Source organism: Homo sapiens, chromosome 5 (assembly GCF_000001405.40).
Source record: "Homo sapiens chromosome 5, GRCh38.p14 Primary Assembly".
Classification (NCBI taxonomy): Eukaryota; Metazoa; Chordata; class Mammalia; order Primates; family Hominidae; genus Homo; species Homo sapiens.
The window spans coordinates 179835203-179858897 of record NC_000005.10 but is presented as its reverse complement, the minus strand read 5'-3'; the positions used below and the strand labels follow the sequence as shown (position 1 = coordinate 179858897).

The following is a 23695-nucleotide window of genomic DNA, read 5'->3' as shown; positions in this document are numbered from 1 at the left end:
GTAGGGGACTAGAGGGTTCGGAGCGCGTGCGTGGGGCGGGGCCGCGGCGGGACAAATGCAGAGCGCACGCGCTTGGCTGCCTGGCGACTGCACAAGCAGGGATGGCGTCGCTTCAGCGTTCTCGGGTGCTACGCTGCTGCAGCTGCCGCCTCTTCCAGGCGCACCAGGTCTGGCGGGTGCCAGCCCCCTCCTCCTCCTCCGGCGCGGGGACAGCGGACGGGGAGTGGCGGGGCTGTGGGTGTTGTCTCGAATGGCTCCGGGATGCACCGGGCCCGAAGGAGTGCAGGGACCGCTGAGGGCGGGTCTCATTGGGGTCGCCCCCGCATAACGTTCTGAGCTTTTTGTTTGGTTCTTGTACAAACCAGAGGTAATGGTTCTGCGGAGGTGGCCTCTTGTGAATTGTAGCAGGTAGTGGGAGAATCCGGTTGAGTATAGCATCCTTTACGCAGAGCCTACCCCACGAAGTAGCGCTGTCGCAGTTTCAGTGAGAGGGGGAGGACGGTTCTTAGAGACCGAGCGCGCCGCGGCGGCGTCCCTGCTCCACACCTGGGCGCCCTCTCCGTCGCCCCGCGCCTCTGCCGCCGTCCGTTTCCGCGGGGCCAGGGACTTGATATGGCTGTTCGCCGACGCATAAACCACGGGCCCCGGAGTCTTAAAGACAGATAATCTGTGTTTCTAGGACATATTTGCCTCCCTAACTTTCAGCGTGCCAGATAGAGAATGCCACTTAACCTTTTCCGGATCGCACCTGTCTCCCTGCTTGATATCACTTAACACTGCAGTCACCGTATCTGCTTCTGATAGTCCCTCCCTCCTAATTATTGGTAATCTGCTATGCCCTGAGAAAGAATAGCATCAGACTTCTTCTTCTTTTTTTTTTTTTTTTGAGACGGAGTTTCGCTCTTGTTGCCCAGGCTGGAGTGCAATGGCGCGATCTCGGCTCACCGCAACCTCCGCCTCCCAGGTTCAAGCAATTCTCCTGCCTCAGCCTCCCGAGTAGCTGGATTACAGGCATGCGCCACCATGCCCAGCTAATTTTGTGTTTTTAATAGAGACAGGGTTTCTCCATGTTGGTCAGGCCGGTCTCGAACTCCTGACCTCAGGTGACCCGCCTGCCTCGGCCTCCCAAAGTGCTGGGATTACAGGCGAGAGCCATTGTGCCCGGCGTGGATCAGACTTGTTTAAGAGGTATGTTAAAAAGTCAGCAAGATGCTGAGTATGTGTCTGTAAGCTTGCATTTAATGCTAAGCGTTTGTAAGGGCCATTTTAAGGGCTCAGAAACTTTTTACTTATTTTCTTTCGGGAGCTGGGTCCTAAGAGTTGCAAATAAAGGGAGATCATTTGCATTTTTAAATTATTCCACGTCTAATGTTTCATGCTGTTTTTTAAAAACAAATTTTCCGTTTATTTTTATTTCCTTTTTTTGTTTTTGAGACAGAGTCTCACGTCTCACTCTGTCGCCAGGCTGGAGTGCAGTAGCGTGATCTCGGCTCACTGCAACCTCCGCCTCCTGGGTTCAAGCGATTCTCCTGCTTCAGCCTCCCGAATAGCTTGGATTACAGGCGCGCGCCACCAAGCCCAGTTAATTTTTGTATTTTTAGTAGAGACGGGGTTTCACCATGTTGACCAGGAAGGTCTCCATCTCTTGACCTCGTGATCTGCCCGCCTCGGCCTCCGAAAGTGCTGGGATTACAGTGCTGGTGTTACGGGTGTGAGCCACTGCGCCCGGCCTCTATTTCCTTGTTTGTTTTCCTGTTTCACTCTTCCATGTTCACCAGTGTTATTTATTTATTTATTTACTTATTTATTTTGAGACAAGGTCTCGCTTTGTCGCCCAGATTGGAGTGCAGTGGTAACAATCACAGCTCGCTGCAACCTGCATCTCCCGGGCTCAGCTGATCCACCTCAGCCTCCCACGTAGCTGGTACTACAGGTGTGGGCCACCATCCCCAGCTAATTTTTATATTTTTTGTAGGAATGAGGTTTCGGCCGTGTTGCCCAGGCTGGTCTGGAACTCCTGGGCTCAAGTGTTCTTCCCGCCTTAGCTCCCAAAGTGCCGGGACTACGGGTGTGAGCCAGCGCCCCTGACCCTCGTGGTCATTTTCAACCTTATGAAATGTGAGTTGCTTGGCCCCGGTGGCTCACGCCCATAATCTCAGCACTTTGGGAAGCCCACTAGGGCAGATCACTTGAGCTCAGAAGTTCCAGAGCAGCCTGGGCAACGTAGCGAGACCTTGTCTCTACTAAAATTCAAAATAAAATAGCTAGATGTAGTGGCGCGCATCTGTAGTCCTAGCTACTCAGGGTCGCTGAGGCAGGAGAATCGCTTCAGTCCAGGAGGTAGAGGTTGCAGTGAGCCGTGTTCACACCACTGCACTCCAGCCTGGGCGACAGCCAGACCCTGTCTCAAAAACAAAGAAAAATTACTTGAAACCAAAGAGGACGGCAAGTCGGCTATGTACTACTTTAATTTTAATTGCAAGTCGGCTGTGTACTACTTTAACACGTTTAACTTCAACAACCTTTGACTTAGGCATCATTCCCATCTTAGAGACATGAGAATTCCGAAATACACGGGAATCAAGTGGTTTCTCCATCTAGGGAGTGGCAGAACCATACTATCTCAGCAGTTCCCACAATTAATTCCTTTACCAGGTTCTGTGAGTCCTAAACTTTTAAAAAGGCTTTTCTTGGCCGGGTGCGGTGGCTCACACCTGTAATCCCAGCACTTTGGGAGGCCGAGGGGGGCAGATCATGAGGTCAGGAGTTCGAGACCAGCCTGGGCAATGTTGTGAAACCCCGTCTCTACTAAAAATACAAAAAATACAGGTCGTGGTGGCGGGCACCTGTAATCGCAGCTACTTGGGAGGCTGAGGCAGGAGAATCACTTGAATCCAGGAGGCAGAGGTTGCAGTGAGCCGAGATCACGCCACAGTGCTCCAGCCTGGGCAACAGAGCCAGACTCTGTCTCAAAAAAAAAAAAAAAAAAACAACTTTTCTTACTTGTTTATATACTCATAGAAAATCCACAGTTTTATTGGTGTTTTAAGGTAGAAGCTGAGAAGTAAAATTGCTAAGTCATTACCCAGTTCAATTTTTGGTAGGTGCTCATTGTCCTCCTTAGAATCCTTTTGGATACTTCCCCCGAAAACCTCATGATTTTGTATTAGGATCATATTAATCGTATTAATGTTAATGGATCAACCTAGACATCTTTGTGGTGTTAAACATGATCCATTACGTTTCTTCAAGTAACCTTGGTATCCCTTGGTAACATTTTATTTGTTGCTGTTATAAATGGACTCTTTATCAATTATGTGTTCTAATTAGATGTCTGCTCATATAAAAGCTATATTAATTTTTGAAGGTATCTTAATTTTGTACCTAACCACTGTATTAGACTATCTGGTTTTAGTGGCTTCTCATTTCATTATGTTGGTTTTCGGATAAAAAATTATGTCAGGTAGCAGCCGGGCTGGTGGTTCATGCCTTTAATCCCAGCACTTTGGGTGGGTCACTTGAGGTCAGGAGTTCGAGACCAGCCTGACCAACATGATGAAACCCTGTCTCTGCTAAAACCACAAAGTTAGCCGGGCGTGGTGGCACGTGCCTGTAATCCCAGCTACTTGGGAGACTGAGGCAGGAGAATCTCTTGAACCTGGGAGGTGGAGGTTGCACTAAGCCGAGATCTCACCATTGCACTCCAGCCTGGGCAATAAGAGCGAAACTCCGTCTCAAAAAAATTAAAATTAAAATTAAAATTAAAAAATTGGCTTTTCTTTGGGAGGCCGAGGTCTGCAGATCATTTGAGGTCAGGAGTTATTTCAGGTATTATAATTATGTCTATAAATAATGATAGGGTTTTCCGCTCCTTTATAATTTTTATACATCTTACAACTTTCTTCTAATTCCATTGGCTAGTACATCCAGAAAAAAATGGTAAATAATAGCGGGCAACCCTGGCTTGTTCTTGACTTCCATGTGGAATGCTGGTAAAGATTCTCCAGCATTAGAGTGGGTTTTAGGCATTTTATATGTTAAGAGAGAACACATCTAGTCAGGTTTAACAAGAATTGAAAATAAATGTTACGGAATTTTTTTTAGACCCAAGTTTAACAAGAATTTAAATATTATGGAATTTTTTTTACAGCTTCAATTTGAGTCTTACGGAGTGTTTTTGTTTTGTTTGGATTTGGTTTTGCGAGACAGGAATATTATGGAATTTTTTTTTACAGCTTCAATTTGGGTCTTTCAGAGTGGTTTTGTTTTGTTTGGATTTGGTTTTGTGAGACAGCCTCTTGCCATGCTACCCGGGCTGGCCTCAAACTCCTGGGCTCGAGTAGTCTTGGCCTCCCTCGTCGCTGAGACTACAGGCTCAAGCCACTGTGCCCAGCCCAATTTGATTGTGTTTCATACAGATAGCCAGTTTTCCCAGCACCAACCCGGACTTGTTAAATAGTCTGTTCTTTTCTCACTTTTAAAGTACCACCTTTATGATTATGATACGCTAAATGTTTACACATGCTTTGGTTTGTTTCTGGACTCCTTCCATCAGTTTTTAAAATTATTTCAGGCCAGATCCAGCCCTGGTGGCTCACGCCTGTAATCCCAGCACTTTGGGAGGCCGAGGCGGGTGGATCACCAGGTCAGGAGATCGAGACCATCCTGGCCAACACGGTGAAACCCCGTCTCTACTAAAAATACAAAAAATTAGCCAGGCGTGGTGGCGGGCACCTGTAGTCCCAGCTACTCGGGAGGCTGACACAGGAGAATGGCGTGAACCCGGGAGGGGGAGCTTGCAGTGAGCCGAGATTGCGCCGCTGCACTCCAGCCTGGGCAGCAGAGCCAGACTCTGTCTCAAAAAAAAAAAAAAAAAAATTATTTCAGGCCAGGCATGGTGGCTCACACCTGTAATCCCAGCACTGTGGGAGGCCAAGGCAGGTGGATCACTTGAGGTCAGGAGTTTGAGAACAGCCTGGTCAACATGGTGAAACCCCATCTCTACTAAAATACAAAAATTAGCTGGGCGTGGTGGTACACACCTGTAATCCCAGCTACTTGGGATTTAAAAAAAAAAAATTTCAGATCCAATTCCATTTGTTTTTTGTTTGTTTGTTTGTTTTTTTGAGATGGAGTCTCACCCTGTCGTGTAGGCTGGAGTGCAGTGGTGCAATCTTGGCTCACTGCAACCTCCACCTCCCAGGTTTAAGCGATTCTCCTGTCTCAGCCTCCTGAGTAGCTGGGATTACAGGTGCCCGCCACCATGCCTGGCTAATTTTTGTATTTTTAGTAGAGACTGGGTTTCACCATATTGGTCAGGCTGGTCTCGAACTCCTGACCTTGTGATCTGCCCGCCTCGGCCTCCCAAAGGGGGATTACAGGCATGAGCCACCGAGTCCAGCCCAATTCCATTTTGTTTTAAATAATTATCTGAGTTGTATTTCTGAAATTTCATTGCAGGTAAAAAAGAGTGTCAAGTGGACATGCAAAGCTTGTGGAGAGAAGCAGTCCTTTTTGCAGGTGAGTCCTACAAAACAGAAAGCAAGTGGGGCGCAGGCCTGCAGCGAGCCCTTCCAGGGAGTCCCAGCATGCCACAGCTGGGATCATCCTCTCTCAAACAGAGTTCCCCAGACACGGAGCTCCTGCTTCCGAGCTTCCTGTTCCTTCAGGAAGTGAAATGGATGGAGCAGAATCTGGAAAGGTACTGCCATTTGATTCTTCATTCAGCAAGTATTTCTTGAGTACTTTCTGTGTGCCAAGCACAAGGGGAACAGTGGAAAGTAAGCCCATTGTCATTCTTGCCCTCACAGATGCACTTGTGTGGAAGGGGAAGAGAAACTAATGCACACATGCATCTGCATAATTTAAAACTCGGCTGAGCACAAGGAAAGGAAAGCACTGGGGACTGTGAGAAGATGACAGAGGAATCAGGGCAGCCGGGGAAGGGCAGAGGCCGTTGGTGGAGGTGGAGGTGTGGGATAGTGGGCTCAGGAAGTGGAGGCAGGCAGGGGCAGGCTGTAAATGCTCTCATCCAGCTGTTTGCAGCTGGCATTCAGTACGTCTTTTCAGTCCATCCGTATTGCCCCTCCTGAACTCTAGGACCCCAAACTGTCCTGCATCCTTTGCCTTACTGAACTTGCTCTTTTCCTGCTCCAGCCCCAGTGCCACCTCTCCCTTCACCTCTCATCTTTCCTCTCCTTCTACAGCCATGTGCTTTCTTTCTGACCTTAAACCCAAATTTGCTCCCTCTTCAGGCCTTTGTGCTCACTGTGGAGTTCCCCTCCCTCTTCTCAGTATCCTATGGAAGTTACATAGTCATGTGTTTATGCACGGATTGTCCATCTAAGGCTGTAAGTTCCGTGAGAACAGAGGCTTTTTATTTGCTGGTGTATCCGCAGCACCTAGCACAGTGCTCGGTGTTTGTGGAGTGAGTAAGGAACTGGCCCAACCTTGTTGGGCATTTAGGTTGATTTCCCTTTTGACTGTTATGCACAACTCTACCGTGAAGCTTTTCACAAAAACCTCTTTATCCACGTGACCAGCTGTTTACTGTTTACTTAGGACAAAGTCCTAAAAGTTAAATTGCTGTTTTTTGGGGTTTTTTTTTTTTTTGACATGGAGTCTCTCTCTGTCATGCAGGCTGGAGTGCAGTGGCGCAATCTCGGCTCACTGCAACCTTCGCCTCCCGGGTTTAAGCAGTTTTCCTGCCTCAGCCTCCTGAGTATCTGGGACTACAGATGCATGCCACCACACCCAGCTAATTTGTTTTTTGTATGTTTAATAGAGACGGGGTTTCACCATGTTGGCCAGGCTGGTCTTGAACTCCTGACCTCAAATGATCCACCTGCCTCCGTAGACAAAAACATTTCATAATGTTGGTGAGTGCCTTCACCTGATATTTTTTATTTTTTTATTTTTTTTTAGACGGAGTCTCGCTCTGTCACTCAGGCTGGAGTGCAGTGGTGCGATCTCGCTCACTGCAAGCTCCGCCCCCTGGGTTTACGCCATTCTCCTGCCTCAGCCTCCTGAGTAGCTGGGACCACAGGCTCCCACCACCACGCCCGGCTAATATTTTGTATTTTTAGTAGAGATGGGGTTTCACCATGTTAGCCAGGATGGTGTCAATCTCCTGACCTCGTGATCTGCCCACCTTGGCCTCCCAAAGTGCTGGGGTTACAGGCGTGAGCCACCGTGCCTGGCTGATATTTTTTTTAAAAAAGGGAAAAAAAACACTTCAGAATGGGTTCAGCAAAGTTAAAAAATAAATAAATAAATAAATAAAGTGCTGGCAAGGTAATGAGATCTCTTAGGGAATCCAAGGGCAGAACTTCATCCCCGGTCCCTTGAAAAACTAGCCCCAAGAACTGAAAAGCTGCCAACAAGCCAGACATCAGCTTTTCCTGCCCATCACCCAGCTTCTCCCTATATCTTTACTCTATTTTCTCCTCTCCTTCCCTTTCTGTTTCTCCCCAGACTGTTCAGTCAGATTCTCTGCTCCAAGTCCATAGAATCTCATTCCAAGCCAACTGGAAGAGCTGAGTCTCAATTATAAATTCCTAGGAGAAGCAACCTGGTTGGCCCAGGCTGACTCGGATGCCCACCTCTGGTCCAGTCAACTGGGATTGGGTCTCAGAAGAGAGGGGCTGGCTTACCAGGTAGGCAGACACCCCACATGGTGAGCATGGCTTGTTTGAGATGTATATATTTCTACATTCTCCTTGAGGAAGCCTTCTTACTCCCCTCAATGCCTCTGTGCTGTGTGTGGTATGTGGTGTATGGCTGACTAGGCCACAGTAACAAACACACCAAAATTGTGGTGGCTTAATACAATAGACGTTTCTCTTGCTCTCATAACAGTCCTGGGAAGATGATAAGGTCAGCAGGGCGCTGCCCTTGATGTGGTTGCTCAGGGATCCAAGCTCCTGCCATCTTGAGCTGCTTCTATTCCCTGAGGCTCATCTGTAGCTGCTTCTAGCCACTGTGCTTCTAGCCACTGAGAAGGGCAGGTGCTTGGAGGAGCTACCGAGAGGCTTTGAGGGCCAGGCTGGGAAGCAAGTGACAGTGCCATGGAAAGAGGCTGGTTTCGTGGCCACCCCTGACCACACGCACACTGGAAAATGACATCTAGTTTTCGGGAAGAATGCGCTTCAGTATCCATCCAGCAGTCCCTGCCCTATGGAAGAGCACACCGCTACTGGTTATGCCAGCCTGGTCTTTGCCATTTCCCCCTCCAGCTACTCTTCTCCGTTCTCAGGCGAATGTGCTCCAAACAGGACTGCACTCCCTACGTGTCCATTACAATTGCTTCTGTCAGCGTCAGCAGTGGTCTCTGTGTTGCTAAAAACAACGGTTGGTTCTCAGTTCTCACTTGACTTACTAGCTGCCAGGCACTGGGAGTCCACCAGAATTCTGTGCTCACGGGACATCAAGAATGCTCCTGCCAGTGGGGTGTTGAGGAACACTGGACACGTATAGTGTGTGTGTCTGATCACAGATGTGCTCCATTGTCCCAGCACACTTCACTTAAAAAACACAGGTTCAAAGGCCAGACTGTTAAGAATTTCAAGATGGCGACAGCAGAGCGGCTGTCACACCCTGAAGCTGATTCTGCCTGTGCCATAGCAGGACGCATGCTCTCAAATTCCATCTCGTACCATCTGCCTGTGCCATAGCAGGACGCATCCTCTCAAATTCCGTCTTGTACCATCTGCCTGTGCCATAGCAGGACCCAGGATCTCAAATTCAGGCTCTTAACATCTGCCTGTGCCATAGCAGGACTCATGCTCTCAAATTCCATCTCGTACCATCTGCCTGTGCCATAGCAGGACCCGTGGTCTCAAATCCCGTCTCGTACCATCTGCCTGTGCGATAGCGGGACCTGAGCCCTCAAATTCCGTCTCGTACCATCTACCTGTGCCATAGCGGGACCCGTACTCTCAAATTCCATCCCGTACCATCTGCCTGTGCGATAGCGGGACCCGAGCCCTCAAATTCCGTCTCGTACCATCTGCCTGTGCCATAGCGGGACCCGTACTCTCAAATTCCGTCTCGTACCATCTGCCTGTGCCATAGCACGACCCATGGTCTCAAATTCCATCTCTTACCATCTGCCTGTGTCATTGCAGGATCCATGCTCTCAAATTCCGTCTCGTAGCATCTGCCTGTGCCATAGCAGGACCCATGGTCTCAAATTCTGTTTCTTACCATCTGCCTGTGCCATAGCAGGACCCATGGTCACAAATTCCATCTCTTACCATCTGCCTGTGTCATTGCAGGATCCATGCTCTCAAATTCCGTCTCGTAGCATCTGCCTGTGCCATAGCAGGACCCATGGTCACAAATTCCATCTCTTACCATCTGCCTGTGCCATAGCAGGACCCATGGTCACAAATTCCATCTCTTACCATCTGCCTGTGTCATTGCAGGATCCATGCTCTCAAATTCCGTCTCGTACCATCTGCCTGTGCCATAGCAGGACCCATGGTCACAAATTCCATCTCTTACCATCTGCCTGTGTCATTGCAGGATCCATGGTCACAAATTCCATCTCTTACCATCTGCCTGTGCCATAGCAGGACCCATGGTCTCAAATTCCATCTCGTACCATCTGCCTGTGCCATAGCAGGACCCGTACTCTCAAATTCCATCTTGTACCATCTGCCTGTGCCATAGCAGGACCCATGGTCTCAAATTCCGTCTCGTACCATCTGCCTGTGCCATAGCAGGACCCGTACTCTCAAATTCCGTCTTGTACCATCTGCCTGTGCCATAGCAGGACCCATGGTCTCAAATTCCGTCTCGTACCATCTGCCTGTGCCATAGCAGGACCCGTACTCTCAAATTCCATCTTGTACCATCTGCCTGTGCCATAGCAGGACCCATGGTCTCAAATTCCGTCTTGTACCATCTGCCTGTGCCATAGCAGGACCCATGCTCTCAAATTCCGTCTCGTACCGTCTTCCCCTTAGACCCCTCAGCTCCAGCGATGCTGGCCTCTTTGCTGTTCCTCCAAAATTTCAGGCTCAGGGTCTTCACACTCATTCTCATGTATTGCTTCTGCTGGAATGTTCTTCCCCTAGACAGCCATGTGGGTTGCTTCTTCATATCTTCCTGTTTGTGCTCAAACGTTACCTTCTTAGAGATGCATTTCTTGACCATTTTGAACACCTTATGTAAAACGGTATGCTCTTATGTACGACCTCTTTCCTGGCCTTGTCTTTCTCAGGAGCACTTACTAGCATCTGATAGGTTATATGGCTCACTTGTTTCTTTCCTGTCTCTTCTCACTTGAATGTGAGTTCCATGATGACAGGGAGTCTTGTCCATTCCTGTATTGTCTACCCCAAGATGAGGCCTGGCACACAGTTGGTATTCAATAAATATTTGTTGGATGAATTTGTGACTGGTAAGTGGGAAAAAATGTATTTTATTTTGTATTCCTTTGATTATCAGTGAAGGTAAGTATCATTTCATATATTTTTTGGCAGTATGTTATACAATATGGCAATATGTGTTACTTCTCTTGTGACCTTTTTACTCATGTGCACTAACCATTTTGTGTAGGGCTTTGGGTTGAGTTTGGCTTCAGTAGGTAGAGTTCAGGGTGATTGTGGGACAGCCACATAGATGTAAACTATTAGTTCCGGAGACTGTTGGTTTGTAAATCATTCTAGAGACAGCCGTCAGTCATTAGGATTCCTGCATGCTGCTTTAGGGGTCTTTGGGCCTTGCAGAATACAGCTTTGTCCTCCCTGAGGTGCATCTCAAATGGATCTGTTTCTCAGCATTCTGCCAGCACTTTTTCAATGTAATATATTTTTTGGTTTCTCAGGCTTATGGTGAAGGCTCTGGTGCTGATTGTAGACGCCATGTCCAAAAGTTAAATCTACTACAGGGACAAGTTTCAGAGCTGCCACTCAGGTACAGTTGTTTGAGAAGAGCGTGGTTGTCTTGCCCTGTTTTCGTCTTGACTGGATAATAGAAGTACACAGTGGAAATCCTGAGCTGGGCACTCTGCTGTGGCTGGACCTGCCCCAGGTCCCTGCTGTCACTTTGCCATCTGAGGTCAGCAGCTGCCCTCAGAACCGACCCCGGGGATGTTTAGAATACTGGGGCTGAGCTTCACCCGAGGAGATTCTCACCTGATTACCTGTGATGAGGTCCAGACCTGTGGTTTTTAAAGCTGGCAGGCCATTGCTCTGTGCCTCCAGAGCTGAAGGCTCTTGACACAGCTGTTCTTGTTTGTGGCTGGCTCACCAGAGAGGCCCTGGTAGGACAGACCCCACTGGGCCTGGGTCAGTGGAGAAGTCCCTTAGACTTCCACGTCTTACAATATGGCAGTCAAACACCCTGAGCAATTCTCCCACTGAAAATAACTAAAAATGCTAGCTATTTTAAATGCACTGATGAGCTGACAAGAAAGTAACTCTCGGCCAGGCGCAGTGGCTCATGCTTGTAGTCCCAGCACTTTAGGAGGCCAAGGCGGGCAGATCACGAGGTCAGGAGTTCGAGACCAGCCTGGCCAGCATGGTGAAACCCCGTGTATATTAAAAATACAAAAAAATTAGCCTGGCATGATGTTGCATGCCTGTGATCCCAGCTACTCAGGAGGCTGAGGTAGGAGAATCACTTGACCCCAGGAGGCAGAGGTTGCAGTGAGCCGAGATCGCGCCATTGCGCTCCAGCCTGGGCGACAGAACGAGACTATCTCAAAAAAAAAAAAAAAAAAAAAAAAAAGTAAGTAACTCTCAGAGGTCAAAAATGAAGAAGCGGGTCTGATGGTGGTGGGTTATGAGAACTGATTAACATTAGTGTCACTAACGTTGGTATACAACTCTCCACTGCTAAGTTTAACTGGCTTAAAAAAAAATGTAGAAGCCAAAATCCAGAGAGGAAGCACCTGAGCTGCTGGGGTGATTGAAGCCCGGTGCTCTGGAGCCTCCATTTCGACGGCTGGGAGAGGGGCAGGAGGCCCTCAGAAGACAAAACCTACGGCAGTGTGGGCGGACCAGTAGGACACCTCCTAACAAAACTGAGCTCCCGGAGGACTACACCCTCGGTGTACAAATGAACTAGATCCACTCTGCAACAGGCAGCTTGCCTGTATTGACCTTGGCAATGGCTGAAGAGGGGGAAATATCTCTAAGATTTTGGAAATAAAAGGAAGTAGTTGCATGGTTTTTCAGCCTTTTACATACCCTGTGTGAAAAGCCTCAAGCAGAAAATTTATGTTTTAATTGTCCCAGGAAGCAGAGGTAAATGGAGCTCCTCTTTGCAGCAATATATCTTCAATTGCTGGGCCTTAAAGTTCCCACAGAGGCCGGGTGTGGTGGCTCACCCCTGTAATCCCAGCACACTGGGAGGCCGGGGCAGATGGATCATGAGGTCAAGAGATCGAGACCATCCTGGCCAATACGATGAAATCCCGTCTCTACTAAAAATACAAAATCAGCTGGGCGTGGTGGCGGGCGCCTGTAATCCCAGCTACTAGGGAGGCTGAGGCTGGAGAATTGCTTGAATCTGGGAGGCGGAGGCTGCAGTGTTCCGAGGTGGTGCCACTGCACTCCAGCCTGCCAATAGAGTGAGACTCCATCTCAAAAAAAAAAAAGAAAAAAAGAATCCCCAAAGAAAAAGTTCCAAGTAGCATAATATACTCAGGAGTTTAAAATCATTTAACATTCAAGGAAATACACCACCAGGAGCAAAAGATCAACAGTCAGAAAAGTCAGACCCATAAAGACTTCAGAATACATGATATTGCATGTTTAATATATTTAATCCAATAAAAGAAGTGGGTGATAAGATGAGGGCCTTCAAAAAATAGGTGTATTTGAGAGCTTTTTTGGAGGTTCTAGCAGGGGAGTGCAGCTACTCATATACCCTGGACCAAAGACCGCTCCTCCTCTATTGGAGGTGGTCGTCCTCTTCGACCAAGCGCACAGCTTCAGGAGGGACGCACATGGAGCGGTGAGGGAAGAAGGGGACACCACCTAGCCATCCAGATCAGCTAACCAACCCTGGTGATTGATGGAGTGACAGATGGTGCAGCCACATCACCCTCACATCCAAAAAAATAGGTGTATTTGAAAAAGAACCAAAAAGAGGCCGGGTGCAGTGGCTCACACCTATAATCCCAGCACTTTGGGAGGCCAAGGCAGGCGGATTATTTGAGGTCAGGAGTTCAAGCCCAGCTTGGCCAACATGGTGAAACCCTGTCTTTACTAAAAATACAAAAGTCAATTGGGTGTGGTGGCACATGCCTGTAATCCCAGCTACTCAGGAGGCTGAGGCATAAGAATCGCTTGAGCCTGGGAGGCAGAGGTTGCAGTTAGCCAACCTCCGCCTCCCAGGCTCAAGTGAGGCCTGCACCAGAGTGAGACTCTGTCTTTAAAAAATAAAAGAGTTTGTAGAACTTAAAAGTATAATCATTGAAATTAAAAATTCATTTCAGGCCGGGTGCAGTGGCTCATGCCTGTAATCCTAGCAATTTGGGAGGCCAAGGCAGGCAGATCACTTGAGGTCAGGAGTTCATGACCAGCCTGGCCAACATAGTGAAACCCCATCTCTACTAAAAATACAAAAATTAGCTGGAAATCACTTGAACCCAGGAGGCGGAGGTTGCAGTGAGCCAAGATTGTGCCACTGCACACCAGCCTGGGTGACAGAGTGAGACTCCATCTCAAAAAAAAAAGAAGAAATTAAAAATTCAGTGGACACGTTAAACAGATTAAATGCAGCTGAAGAGAGAATTAGTGAAATGGAAGATAAATCTAGAAAATTATTCACAGTGCAACACAGAAAAATGGAAAAGTAGAAAATATAAGGGAAAGTTGAGAGACGTGGAGGTTACAGAGGAGAGTTCTAGCAAAAGATAATTAAGAGAATGGGGCAAAAGCAATAACTGAAGAGATAAGAGCACAGCATTTTCCAGAATCAAAGACATAACATTTTTAGATTAAGGAAACACAGTAAATCCCAAACTGGATAAAAGCATTATTTTATTTGCAAATAGCATGATTGTGTATGTAGAAAATCCTAATGAATCTACAAAAAAGCTACTAGAACTAATAATTTAGCAAGATCACAAGAATACAAGGTCAACATACAAAATTAAATTGTATTTCTATATATATGCAGTGGACAATTGGAAAAATGATTTTTAAAATCAAATACCAGCTGGATGCGTACTTCACGCTTGTAATCCCAGCACTTTGGGAGGCCGAGGTGGGTAGATCACTTGAGCCCAGGAATTTGAGACTAGCCTGGGCAAGATGGCAAAACCGTCTCTACAATAAAAAGAAGAAAAAAAAAGGGCAGGCGTAGTGGTGCGTGCCTGTGGTCCCAGATACTCAGGAGGCTGAGGTGGGAGGATCCACCTGAGCCCAGGGAGGTTGAAGCTGCAACTTATCTCCATTGTCATGTGATTCCATCTTCCAGCAATCTTGGCTCACTGCAGCCTCTGCCTTCCGGGTTCAAACATTATCTGCCTCAGCCTCCTGAGTAGCTGGGAATATAGGTATGCACCACCGTGTTCGTCAGACTTGTCTCGAACTCCTGACCTCAGGTGATCCACCTGCCTCAGCCTCCCAAAGTGCTGGGATTACAGGAGTGAGCCACTGTGCCCAGCCCCTGGTCATTTTTCAAAGGGCATATGTATGGTCTTCCCTGAAGGTCTCTAGAAGAAACTGTCAGTGCCAGTGAAGAAGAAAACGTGGGACACCAGCAGGCTGGGAATGTGAAGCAGCAGGTAAGCCTCAGGCCCACCTGCCCCAGGCTGGCTCTGTGTCAGGGAAGGGATGAATGCACAGATGTATCCAGTAGTCATTATAGCAAATGTGTGTTGATGCCACCCAATGACAGGCAGTTGGCTTAAAGCTGCAGGGAACACAAAAATAAATAAACCTGTACCTTTTGTAAGGATGGAGGCAGCCATGTGTACCAAGCATTACAATACCCTGCAAAGGACTCTCTCCTCTGTCTGCTTGGAGAACTCCTGAATGTAGCTCAAATATCACCTTATACTGCTTCCACTTTGCTCCCACAGCACTCTGGGCATACCTCTGAGAGGGAAAGAATAATGGGGTGAAACACCTGGGTTTCCATCTTTCCTTGTTCCAGACTGCAAGCTGTTGTTTTGTTTTGTTTTGTTTTTTTTCTCTGAAACGAGGTCTCACTCTGTCGCCCAGGCTGGAATGCAGTGGCGCGATCATGGTTCTCTGCAGCCTTGACTTCCTGGGCTGAAGTGATCCTCCCACCTCAGGCTCCTGAGTAACTGGGACTACAACTGTGCCCTACCACGCCCAGCTAATTTTTTTTCTTTTTTGTAGAGGCAGGGTCTCCCTGTGTTGTCTAGGCTGGTCTCAAACTCCTGGGCTCAGGCCATCTTCCCACCTCAGCTCCCAAAGTACTGGGATTACAGGCATGAACCACTGCACCTGGCCAGACTCACACTTTGTTATAAGCAGAGGAAGATGCTCTTCTGGTACCTGTGCCTGTGCTTCCAATTCAGTCCATTTACAGACTTAATTTTATATCATTCTCATCAGAAATACTTTTTTGCATCCTAGTTTTGAGTTGTATCATTCTTCTGTGCTGCGGTATAGTTTTCAGTGATTTTCATTTCTTATTTATTAATTTTTGAGACAGGGTCCCTCTCTGTCACCCAGGCTGGAGTGTGGAGGCATGATCGCTGCTCACTGGAGCCCCAACGTCTCAAAAAACAAAAGTATTTACAGAATGTAGTAGATGCACCAGTATTGATTCCTTATTATGTGGCATTTAGGTTGTTTCCACACTTCTGCTTGCCTGCTTGCCTGCCTCCCTCCCTCCCTCCCTCCCTTCCTTCCTTCCTTCCTTCTTTCCTCCTTTCGACAGAGTCTCGCTGTGTCCCCCAGCCGGAGTGCAGTGGCGTGATCTCAGCTCACTGCAACTTCTGCCTCCTGAGTTCAAGCAATTCTCCTGCCTCAGCCTCCCAAGAAGCTGGGATTACAGGCACGCACCACCACGCCCGGCTAATTTTTGTATTTTTAGTAGAGACGGGGTTTCACCATGTTGCCTAGGCTAGTCTTGAACTCCTGAGCTCAGGTGACCCGCCCGCCTCAGCCTCCCACGGTGCTAGGGTTACAGGTGTGAGCCACCGCGCCTGGCCATGTTTCCACCCCTCTGTTCTTTTTTTTTTTTTTTTTTTTTTTTTTTTTTTGAGACGGAGTCTCGCTCTGCCCCCCAGGCTGGAGTGTAATGGCACCATCTCGGCTCACTGCAGGCCCCGCCTCCCGGGTTCACACCATTCTCCTGCCTCAGCCTCCTGAGTAGCTGGGACTACAGGTGCCTGCCATCACGCCCGGCTAATTTTTTGTTTTTTTTTTGTTGTTGTTTTTTTTTTAGTAGAGACGGGGTTTCACCGTATTGGCCAGGGTGGTCTCGATCTCCTGACCTTGTGATCCGCCAGCCTCGGCCTCCCAAGGTGCTGGGATTACAGGTGTGAGCCACCGCGCCCGGCTACTTCTGTTCTTATAAATGAAATTTGCTATTTTTTATAAGACTGGGACTGGCACCTCTGCCTTCTCTGTGTGGAATCACTGGGCCAGGGAGCATAGACTTTCATGAGTCTCTTGGTGGGCCGTGCCCTGCCGCCTTCCCGAGGCCTGTGCCAGTGAGCACTGTCCTGCCAGCATTGCATAGTATTGGCGTCCATCACCTTCCAGCCGGTGCCTTTCCTAGAGTGGAGCTGGACATGACTCCTGAGATCCTCAGGCCCAAGAGTTGGGCTAGGGGTTTTCGATAAAACTGCCTGGTTTCCAGTACTGAGAATCAACTTTTTTCTCAATCTGGCAGGAAAAATCGCAGCCCTCAGAGAGTCGCTGGCTGAAGTATCTAGAAAAGGACTCCCAAGAACTGGAGCTGGAAGGAACAGGAGTGTGTTTCAGCAAACAGCCTTCATCCAAAATGGAGGAGCCAGGCCCCCGCTTCAGTCAAGACCTGCCTAGAAAAAGGTACCAAGTGCGTCTCCGTTCCAGCCCTGGCCCAGGGCCTCTGCTGCCTCCAGCAGTGGGGCACCAGTGAGCCACTGTGAGCGTCAGCCAAGCGCGGGAAGCCTAGGTGGCAAGTGCCAGCAGGTGGGAAATCGGGCAGCTGCTGCCACTGCTGGCCCCACAGCCCACCTGGGCATTGGGCACTGCTGGTGCAGAGGCGAAGGCTGGGCAGGACACCCGTGTGCACACCCTTTATGATGCCCACTTAATTCTGAACATCTCAGACTGTACTGACCCCAGGGGAGAGGTCGGAGTAGCTGGCAGGCCTAAGAGCTTTTAGCTCAGAGAAGCAGAGGCCTCAGACTTGAAGGAAGTTTTCTTCTGCTTCAGGCATTTCAGTGAGATTTTTGGAGAGACTGCTTTAGGTTAAGGATCTAGGGAGGCTCTTAGAGGGCAGGTGCTTTCAGGAGGTAGATTCTGCTTTCAAACCAGAACCTTCATCCGGGTACAGTGGCTCACACCTGTAATCCCAGCACTTTGGGAGGCTGAGGCAGGAGGATCATTTGATCCTCCAGTCCGGGCAACATAGGGAGACCCTATCTGTACAACAGATTTTTTAAAACAAATTCATGGGGCATGGTGGTGCATGCCTGTGGTCCCAGCTACTTGGGAGGCTGAGGCAGGAGGATCACCTGAGCCCAGGAGGTCAAGGCGGCAGTGAGCCATTGCACTCCAGCCTGGGTGCCGGTGAGACCCTGACTGAAATAAAAACAAAACTTTCTAGCACCTAGAAGCTGTGAAGCAGGGGAGTGGGGCCTGGGCGGTGGCTGGACACCCTGAGCAGCTGCCTGGGAAGCCGTAGGAACAAGCAGGTGGCCACCCGAGCCTGTGGGCCATGTGATCGTGGAGTCAGGCTCGGGGTGCCACTGGAGAGTAGCACGGGACTACTGACGGTCCTGTCCTGACAGGAAGTGGAGCAGGAGCACCGTCCAGCCTCCGTGCAGCCGTGGCGTGCAGGACTCGGGTGGCTCTGAGGTCGCCTGGGGACCCCAGAAGGTCAGTGACAAACAGTTTCTCTCTGGTCCCAGTGACCACTGAGCGTGTGTGTGATAATTCTGTCTTTTGTCACAGTTGACGAAGTGTGCGATTCCTACCCGCAGAAAGCCCATCTTCCCACCCGGGTTTCTTGTCTTTTCTGTCTGAAGCCAACTCCTTCCTCGGGTCTGTACCCCCTTTTCCCTCCCATGCCTCTCGTCTCCCATGAGGGTAACTCAGGACCAAAGAGCATTGTGACCCTTGGAGAAACTGAGGTTGGCCAGCAGGTCAACCTGACGATGGGTCAGGGCCATCGTCTCATTCTGCGTGGAGCACGGGGACCTTTGTCCGGGCAGGAGTCGTCAGCGGGCCGCCCTGAATCCTGGGAGATGCTTCCCTCCACACTCGCATTTGCCCTGCTGTGGACTCTTGTATGTGAGGCACTCTTCACTTAGGGTGTTGTCTTGTTCTTTTTTGTTTTCTGAGACAGGGTCTCACTCTGTCTACCCAGGCTGGAGTGCAGTGGCACAGTCATAGCCTACTGAAGCCTCAACCTCCCAGGCTCAAGTGATCCTCCTGCCTCAGCCGCCAAGTAGCTGGGACCACAGATGCACACCACCACACTGGCTAATCTTTAAAAAATATTTTGTAGAGGCCAGGCGCAGTGGCTCACACCTGTAATCTCAGCACTTTGGGAGGCCGAGGTGGGTGGATCACTTGAGGTCAGGAGTCTGAGACCAGCCTGGCCAACATGGTGAAACCCCATCTCTACTAAAAATAATTAGCTGGGCGTGGTTGTGCACGCCTATAATCCCAGCCACTCGAGAGGCTGAGGCAGGAGAATTGCTTGAACCTGAGAGGCATAGGTTGCAGTGAGCTGAGATTGCATCACTGCGCTCCAGCCTGGGCAACAGAAAAAAAAAATTTTTTAGAGACATGGTCTCACTATGTTGCCCAGGCTTGTCTCAAACTCCTGAGCTCAAGCAATCTTCCCACTTCCCAAAGTGCTGGGACTATAGGTGTGGGCCACTGCGCCTGGCCCATTTGTCTTGTTCTTGAAGCTTCCAGTCCAGCAGGCCCCACCGCATATCCAGTGCTGCAGAGTGCAGGGTTTGCTCTGCCTGTCAGAGGAGCCAGGGCACAGCAAGGGCACTGCAGTTGGGAGTCCACTGGGCGTCAGTCACTGCCCCCACCCCCACATCAGCCAAGGTCGGTCTCCGCTGGCCTTGCACCACGCACAGAGCACTGGCTCATGCCAAGAAGCAGAATTCAAACTTTGATGTTGCCGCCAACTAGTTTTGTGATCCTGGGTAAGTAAGTGGCTTTGAATCTCCAAATCCTAGAAGAATGACCAGAGAGTCTGCCACGGGCCAGTCCCTGGGCTGCATGTTGTAATGGTATCATTGTGTTTCATGCTCCCTCAAGCCTGTTGCTTTGTTTTAAAGGTGAGGAACTGAGGCTTGCAGTTTTTGTGCAGTCATGGCAAGTTCAGTGGCAAAGCCAACGTCAAGTTTCAGGGCCGCAGAGCCTCTTCTGTACTGCCTGGGTGGCAGTGCTGCAGGGACCCACTCTATCGCTGCTTTCACATTGCTTTTCCCTTTGTAAGCAGCACAACCCAACTGTTGTTTTTTTTTTTTTTTTGAGTAGGAGTTTCACTCTTGTTCCCCTGGCTGGAGTGTAATGGCACGATCTTGGCTCACTGCAACCTCCGCCTCCCAGGTTCAAGCGATTCTCCTGCCTCAGCCTCCTGAGTAGCTGGGATTACAGGCACCCGCCACCACGCCTGGCTAATTTTTGTATTTTTAGTAGAGACAGGGCTTCCCCATGTTGGCCAGGCTGGTCTTGAACTCCTGACCTCAAGTGATCCACCCGCCTCGGCCTCCCAAAGTACTGGGATTACAGGCATGAGCCACTGCACCCAGCCTTTTGTTTTTGAGATGGGGTGTCACTCTGTCACCTAGGCTGGAGTGCAATGGTACAATCACACCTCATAGCAGCCTCCATCTCCCGGGCTTAAGTGATCCTCCCGAGCAGCTGGGATCACAGGCACTCACCACCACAGTTGGCTAATTTTTTGTAGAAGAGGGGGTTTCACCATGTTGCCCAAACTGGTGTCAAACTCCTGGGCTCAAGCAATCTGCCTGCCTCAGCCTCCCAAAGTGCTGGGATTCAGGCATGAGCCACTGCTCCCAGCCTACAACCCAACTTTCTTTTTTTTGAGACAGAGTTCGCTCTGTTGCCTAGGCTGGAGTGGAATGGCGTGATTTCGGCTCACTGCAACCTCTGCCTCCCAGGTTCAAGTGATTCTCCTGCCTCAGCCTCCCGAGTAGCTGAGATTACAGGCGCGTGCCACCACGCCAGGTTAATTTTTGTATTTTTAGTAGTGATAGGGTTTCGCCATGTTGGCCAGGTTGATCTCGAACTCCTGGCCTCAGGTGATCTACCTGCCTTGGCCTCCCAAAGTGCTGGGATTACAGGCGTGAGCCACTGCGCCCGGCCGACACCCAACTTTCAGAGCATCTTTGGTTCCTGGGGTGAGAGAAGCCAGACCCCAGCACCAGTCCTATCCCACAGGGAGCTCGGTGCTGCCACCTCTGCAGCTGCAGAACCCGGCAGGCTCTGGAGAGCTGCCCCCCGGTGGGAGGTAGCAGAATGGAGCCAGCGCACCCCTTTCCCGATGTCTCGAGGCCCTTCTGCTCAAAATTCTTTTGTAGGCACCGGTAACCTGATTCTAAGGTCCCCAGGAGATGGATCACCTGATGACATGAGAATGTCTTGTTTTTGGAAAGCCTGGTCATGCAATTTAGCAGAAGGTTTGCGGTGAGGTGGAAGGCATTTATTTGCTTTGTCTTGCTAACCCTCAAAATCAAAGCCTGTCCCAGCCTGACAGCTTCCAGCAGAAAGTGTCAGAACCAGAGGCCCAGCCAAGGCCCAGGCAGGGCAGGCGGTCCTCCTGGGCCCTGGCATTGTTCTTACACATGGAGGGCATGGCCATCTTCTCTTTCAGGGACAGGCTGGCCTGACATGGAAGGTGAAACAAGGCAGCAGCCCCTGCCTCCAGGAGAACTCTGCAGACTGCAGTGCCGGGGAGCTGAGGGGTCCTGGGAAGGAGCTATGGAGTCCCATCCAGCAGGTTACAGCCACATCCTCTAAATGGGCGCAATTTGTCCTGCCACCTAGAAAAAGTTCACATGTGGACAGTGAGCAGCCAAGGTCTCTTCAGAGGGACCCCAGGCCAGCTGGTCCAGCACAGGCTAAGCAAGGGACCCCCAGAGCACAGGCCTCAAGAGAAGGCCTCAGCAGGCCCACTGCCGCTGTCCAGCTTCCTCGGGCCACACACCCCGTCACATCTGGGTCTGAGAGGCCTTGCGGGAAGACCTCATGGGACGCAAGGACTCCCTGGGCAGAGGGTGGGCCCCTGGTCCTGGAGGCACAGAATCCTCGACCCACACGACTATGTGACCTCTTTATAACTGGGGAAGACTTCGATGATGATGTGTGATCTGGGACTGGCAGGTTATTAATCGAGATACACTTGTTAGGAGGGACAGGGTTCCCCTAAGGCACTTTTAAAGATACTCTGTAAGAACCATTAACAATAAACTTACTGTCAATCATTTCTCTCTATGCAAACGTCATTGGTTAAAGTGCTGATGCCATTTAATTAGATTGTTTACAAATTTAACAGGATGGCTACAAAGAGATCTTATTTTAAAAGCAGCTGATGGTTTGGAAATGAGAGAACTACAGTGGTGAAGAGACCAGGAGGCAGCTCTCAGTGAAACCAACATTGCGGATGCCCTTCGTGAGCCTTCTCAGTCCCAGCAGGAAGCCCACAACACTGGCCTCCCCAGCCTGCCTGCTGACAACACCTAGGCTTACTTTATCTAAAATCAGAGTGTACCAGGTCTGTAGCAGAAAATAATCAACTAAATGTCAGGGACCTATGAGTCATTTAAAACAAAAGAGAAAGTGAAAGCCATTAGGCAAGCTATGTGCTGGGCTGCTAACGTAGCCCCTGCAGGGAGGGGTCAGGAGCGCGCTGCAGTGAGCCTTGGGTCTCGCAGGCCCAGCCCTGCTGCAAGGAGCCAGGGCACCCAGGAAACATCAGCACACACACACACAGGGACCCTCCCTTCATGTCACTTGTTTTGCTGCCCTAAATGGCTTCTTGCACCCTAACCCCTGATCCTGGAAGAAGGCAGAGAAACTGGCCCGTACAGAGACCTGCAATTCTACGCAAGCTTAACACAACTATGAGACAGAAGAGGGGCACGCAGAAGAGGTGGGCAAAAGTGGTCACAACGGCGGGGGATGCTTTGAATACTGGATGGTGTCCAGAGCCGCTCCGATGTCATAGTTCTTGGTCTGCAGGAGCCTGGTGAGCCAGCCGCCTTCATCAGAGAAGCCCATGGACAGCATCTGGGAGAGGGACTCAATCAGCCGCGGGTCAGCCTCTGCCGAAACAGTAAGGAAGCCATGAGGAGTGGTGCTGAGCCCTGTGAGTGACCCGAAACACATACCCTGCTGCCTTGGCCAGCCAGGACCAGGGTCTGCCAGTGTCCGAGCCTGCCCAGAGCTCTCGTCCTCACAGGCCACAGTGGACCTGCTTTCCCTGTAAAGGGCCAAGCAGTCTTTTTCACACTGCTCAACTCTGCCACTGCGACACCAGGCAGCCAGGTGGTGTGTAAGCAGAACCATCAATGGACACTGAAATAGGCATTTCACCTGTCACATCTTTTGATTTTAAAATGTAAGAACAGGCCAGTTAGCCAATTATTACACTCCTCCATGCAAGAGATGATGGGGCATTGAAATAGATTGAAGATGGAGAGAGATGAATGGATACAAGATACATTTTGGAGGTAGAATGAACAGGACTTGGAAATGTATGTGGAGAAGGCAAAGGAGTTAAAGATGATATCTGGAGCAGCACAACTCACAATTGCAAAGATGTGGAACCAACCTAACTGCCCATCAAGCAATGAGTGGATAAAGAAAATGTGGTATATATACACCATGGAATACTACTCAGCCACAAAAAGGAACGAAATAATACCTTTTGCAGCAACTTGGACGGAGCTGGAGGCCATTATCCTAAGTAAAGTAATTCAGGAATGGATACCAAATATCATATGTTCTCACTTATGAGTAGATGCTAAGCTATGATGATGCAAAGACATAAGAATGATATAGCTTTCCCTCTCCCTCTTTCTCCACGGTCTCCCTCTGATGCCGAGCCAAAGCTGGACTGTACTGCTGCCATCTCGGCTCACTGCAACCTCCCTGCCTGATTCTCTTGCCTCAGCCTGCCGAGTGCCTGCGATTGCAGGTGCGCGCCGCCACGACTGACTGGTTTTCGTGTTTTTTTGGTGGAGACGGGGTTTCGCTGTGTTGGCCGGGCTGGTCTCCAGCTCCTAACCACGAGTGATCCGCCAGCCTCGGCCTCCCGAGGTGCCGGGATTGCAGACGGAGTCTGGTTCACTCAGTGCTCAATGGTGCCCAGGCTGGAGTGCAGTGGCGTGATCTCGGCTCGCTACAACCTCCACCTCCCAGCTGCCTGCCTTAGCCTCCCAAAGTGCCGAGATTGCAGCCTCTGCCCGGCCGCCACCCCGTCTGGGAAGTGAGGAGCGTCTCTGCCTGGCCGCCCATCGTCTGGAATGTGAGGAGCCCCTCTGCCTGGCTGCCCA

General features: G+C 49.8%; 2 protein-coding genes and 1 pseudogene across 5 annotated transcripts in view, besides 5 other annotated features; 1 reads left to right on the top strand and 2 right to left on the bottom strand.

The window, feature by feature from the left end:
• On the top strand, positions 81–21622 carry MRNIP (MRN complex interacting protein). 2 transcript variants are annotated; one of them, NM_016175.4, is made up of 7 exons: positions 81–167; positions 5461–5520; positions 10832–10920; positions 14671–14746; positions 16834–16991; positions 17939–18026; positions 21013–21622. In NM_016175.4, the coding sequence occupies exons 1-7, from the start codon at positions 102–104 to the stop codon at positions 21505–21507; spliced, it is 1032 nt and encodes a 343-aa protein (NP_057259.2). In that variant the 5' UTR covers positions 81–101; the 3' UTR covers positions 21508–21622. The 2 variants fall into 2 exon arrangements, with proteins under 2 accessions (NP_057259.2, NP_001017987.1); NM_001017987.3 differs by lacking the exons at positions 10832–10920; positions 14671–14746.
• Positions 550–659: a silencer, noted in NCBI's record as "silent region_16751". NCBI's record gives its function as "represses an Ori minimal core promoter by ATAC-STARR-seq in GM12878 lymphoblastoid cells {active_cell/tissue: GM12878}" and the evidence as "EXISTENCE:reporter gene assay evidence [ECO:0000049][PMID:35858748]".
• Positions 6504–6553: an enhancer, noted in NCBI's record as "active region_23765". NCBI's record gives its function as "activates an Ori minimal core promoter by ATAC-STARR-seq in GM12878 lymphoblastoid cells {active_cell/tissue: GM12878}" and the evidence as "EXISTENCE:reporter gene assay evidence [ECO:0000049][PMID:35858748]".
• Positions 7096–7255: a silencer, noted in NCBI's record as "fragment chr5:179278643-179278802 (GRCh37/hg19 assembly coordinates)". NCBI's record gives its function as "represses an EF-1alpha promoter that drives an FKBP-Casp9 reporter gene in an ReSE screen in phorbol 12-myristate 13-acetate-treated (for megakaryocytic differentiation) K562 erythroleukemia cells {active_cell/tissue: K562(+PMA)}" and the evidence as "EXISTENCE:reporter gene assay evidence [ECO:0000049][PMID:32094911]".
• RN7SKP150 (RN7SK pseudogene 150) lies at positions 12830–13066 on the bottom strand (annotated as a pseudogene).
• Positions 20820–23695, bottom strand: part of SQSTM1 (sequestosome 1) — a 31686-nt gene continuing 28810 nt past the window's right edge. For all 3 annotated transcript variants that reach the window (NM_001142298.2, NM_001142299.2, NM_003900.5), the window contains one exon: positions 20820–22462. In NM_001142298.2, the coding sequence (NP_001135770.1) occupies positions 22305–22462 (158 nt within the window). In that variant the 3' untranslated portion in view covers positions 20820–22304. The remainder of the gene's footprint in view (positions 22463–23695) is intronic.
• Positions 21835–22129: an enhancer, noted in NCBI's record as "tiled region #15558; HepG2 Activating DNase unmatched - State 17:Gen3', and K562 Activating DNase unmatched - State 14:Gen5'". NCBI's record gives its function as "activates a minimal TATA promoter and a strong SV40 promoter by Sharpr-MPRA in HepG2 and K562 cells {active_cell/tissue: HepG2 | K562}" and the evidence as "EXISTENCE:reporter gene assay evidence [ECO:0000049][PMID:27701403]".
• Positions 21904–22053: an enhancer, noted in NCBI's record as "active region_23764". NCBI's record gives its function as "activates an Ori minimal core promoter by ATAC-STARR-seq in GM12878 lymphoblastoid cells {active_cell/tissue: GM12878}" and the evidence as "EXISTENCE:reporter gene assay evidence [ECO:0000049][PMID:35858748]".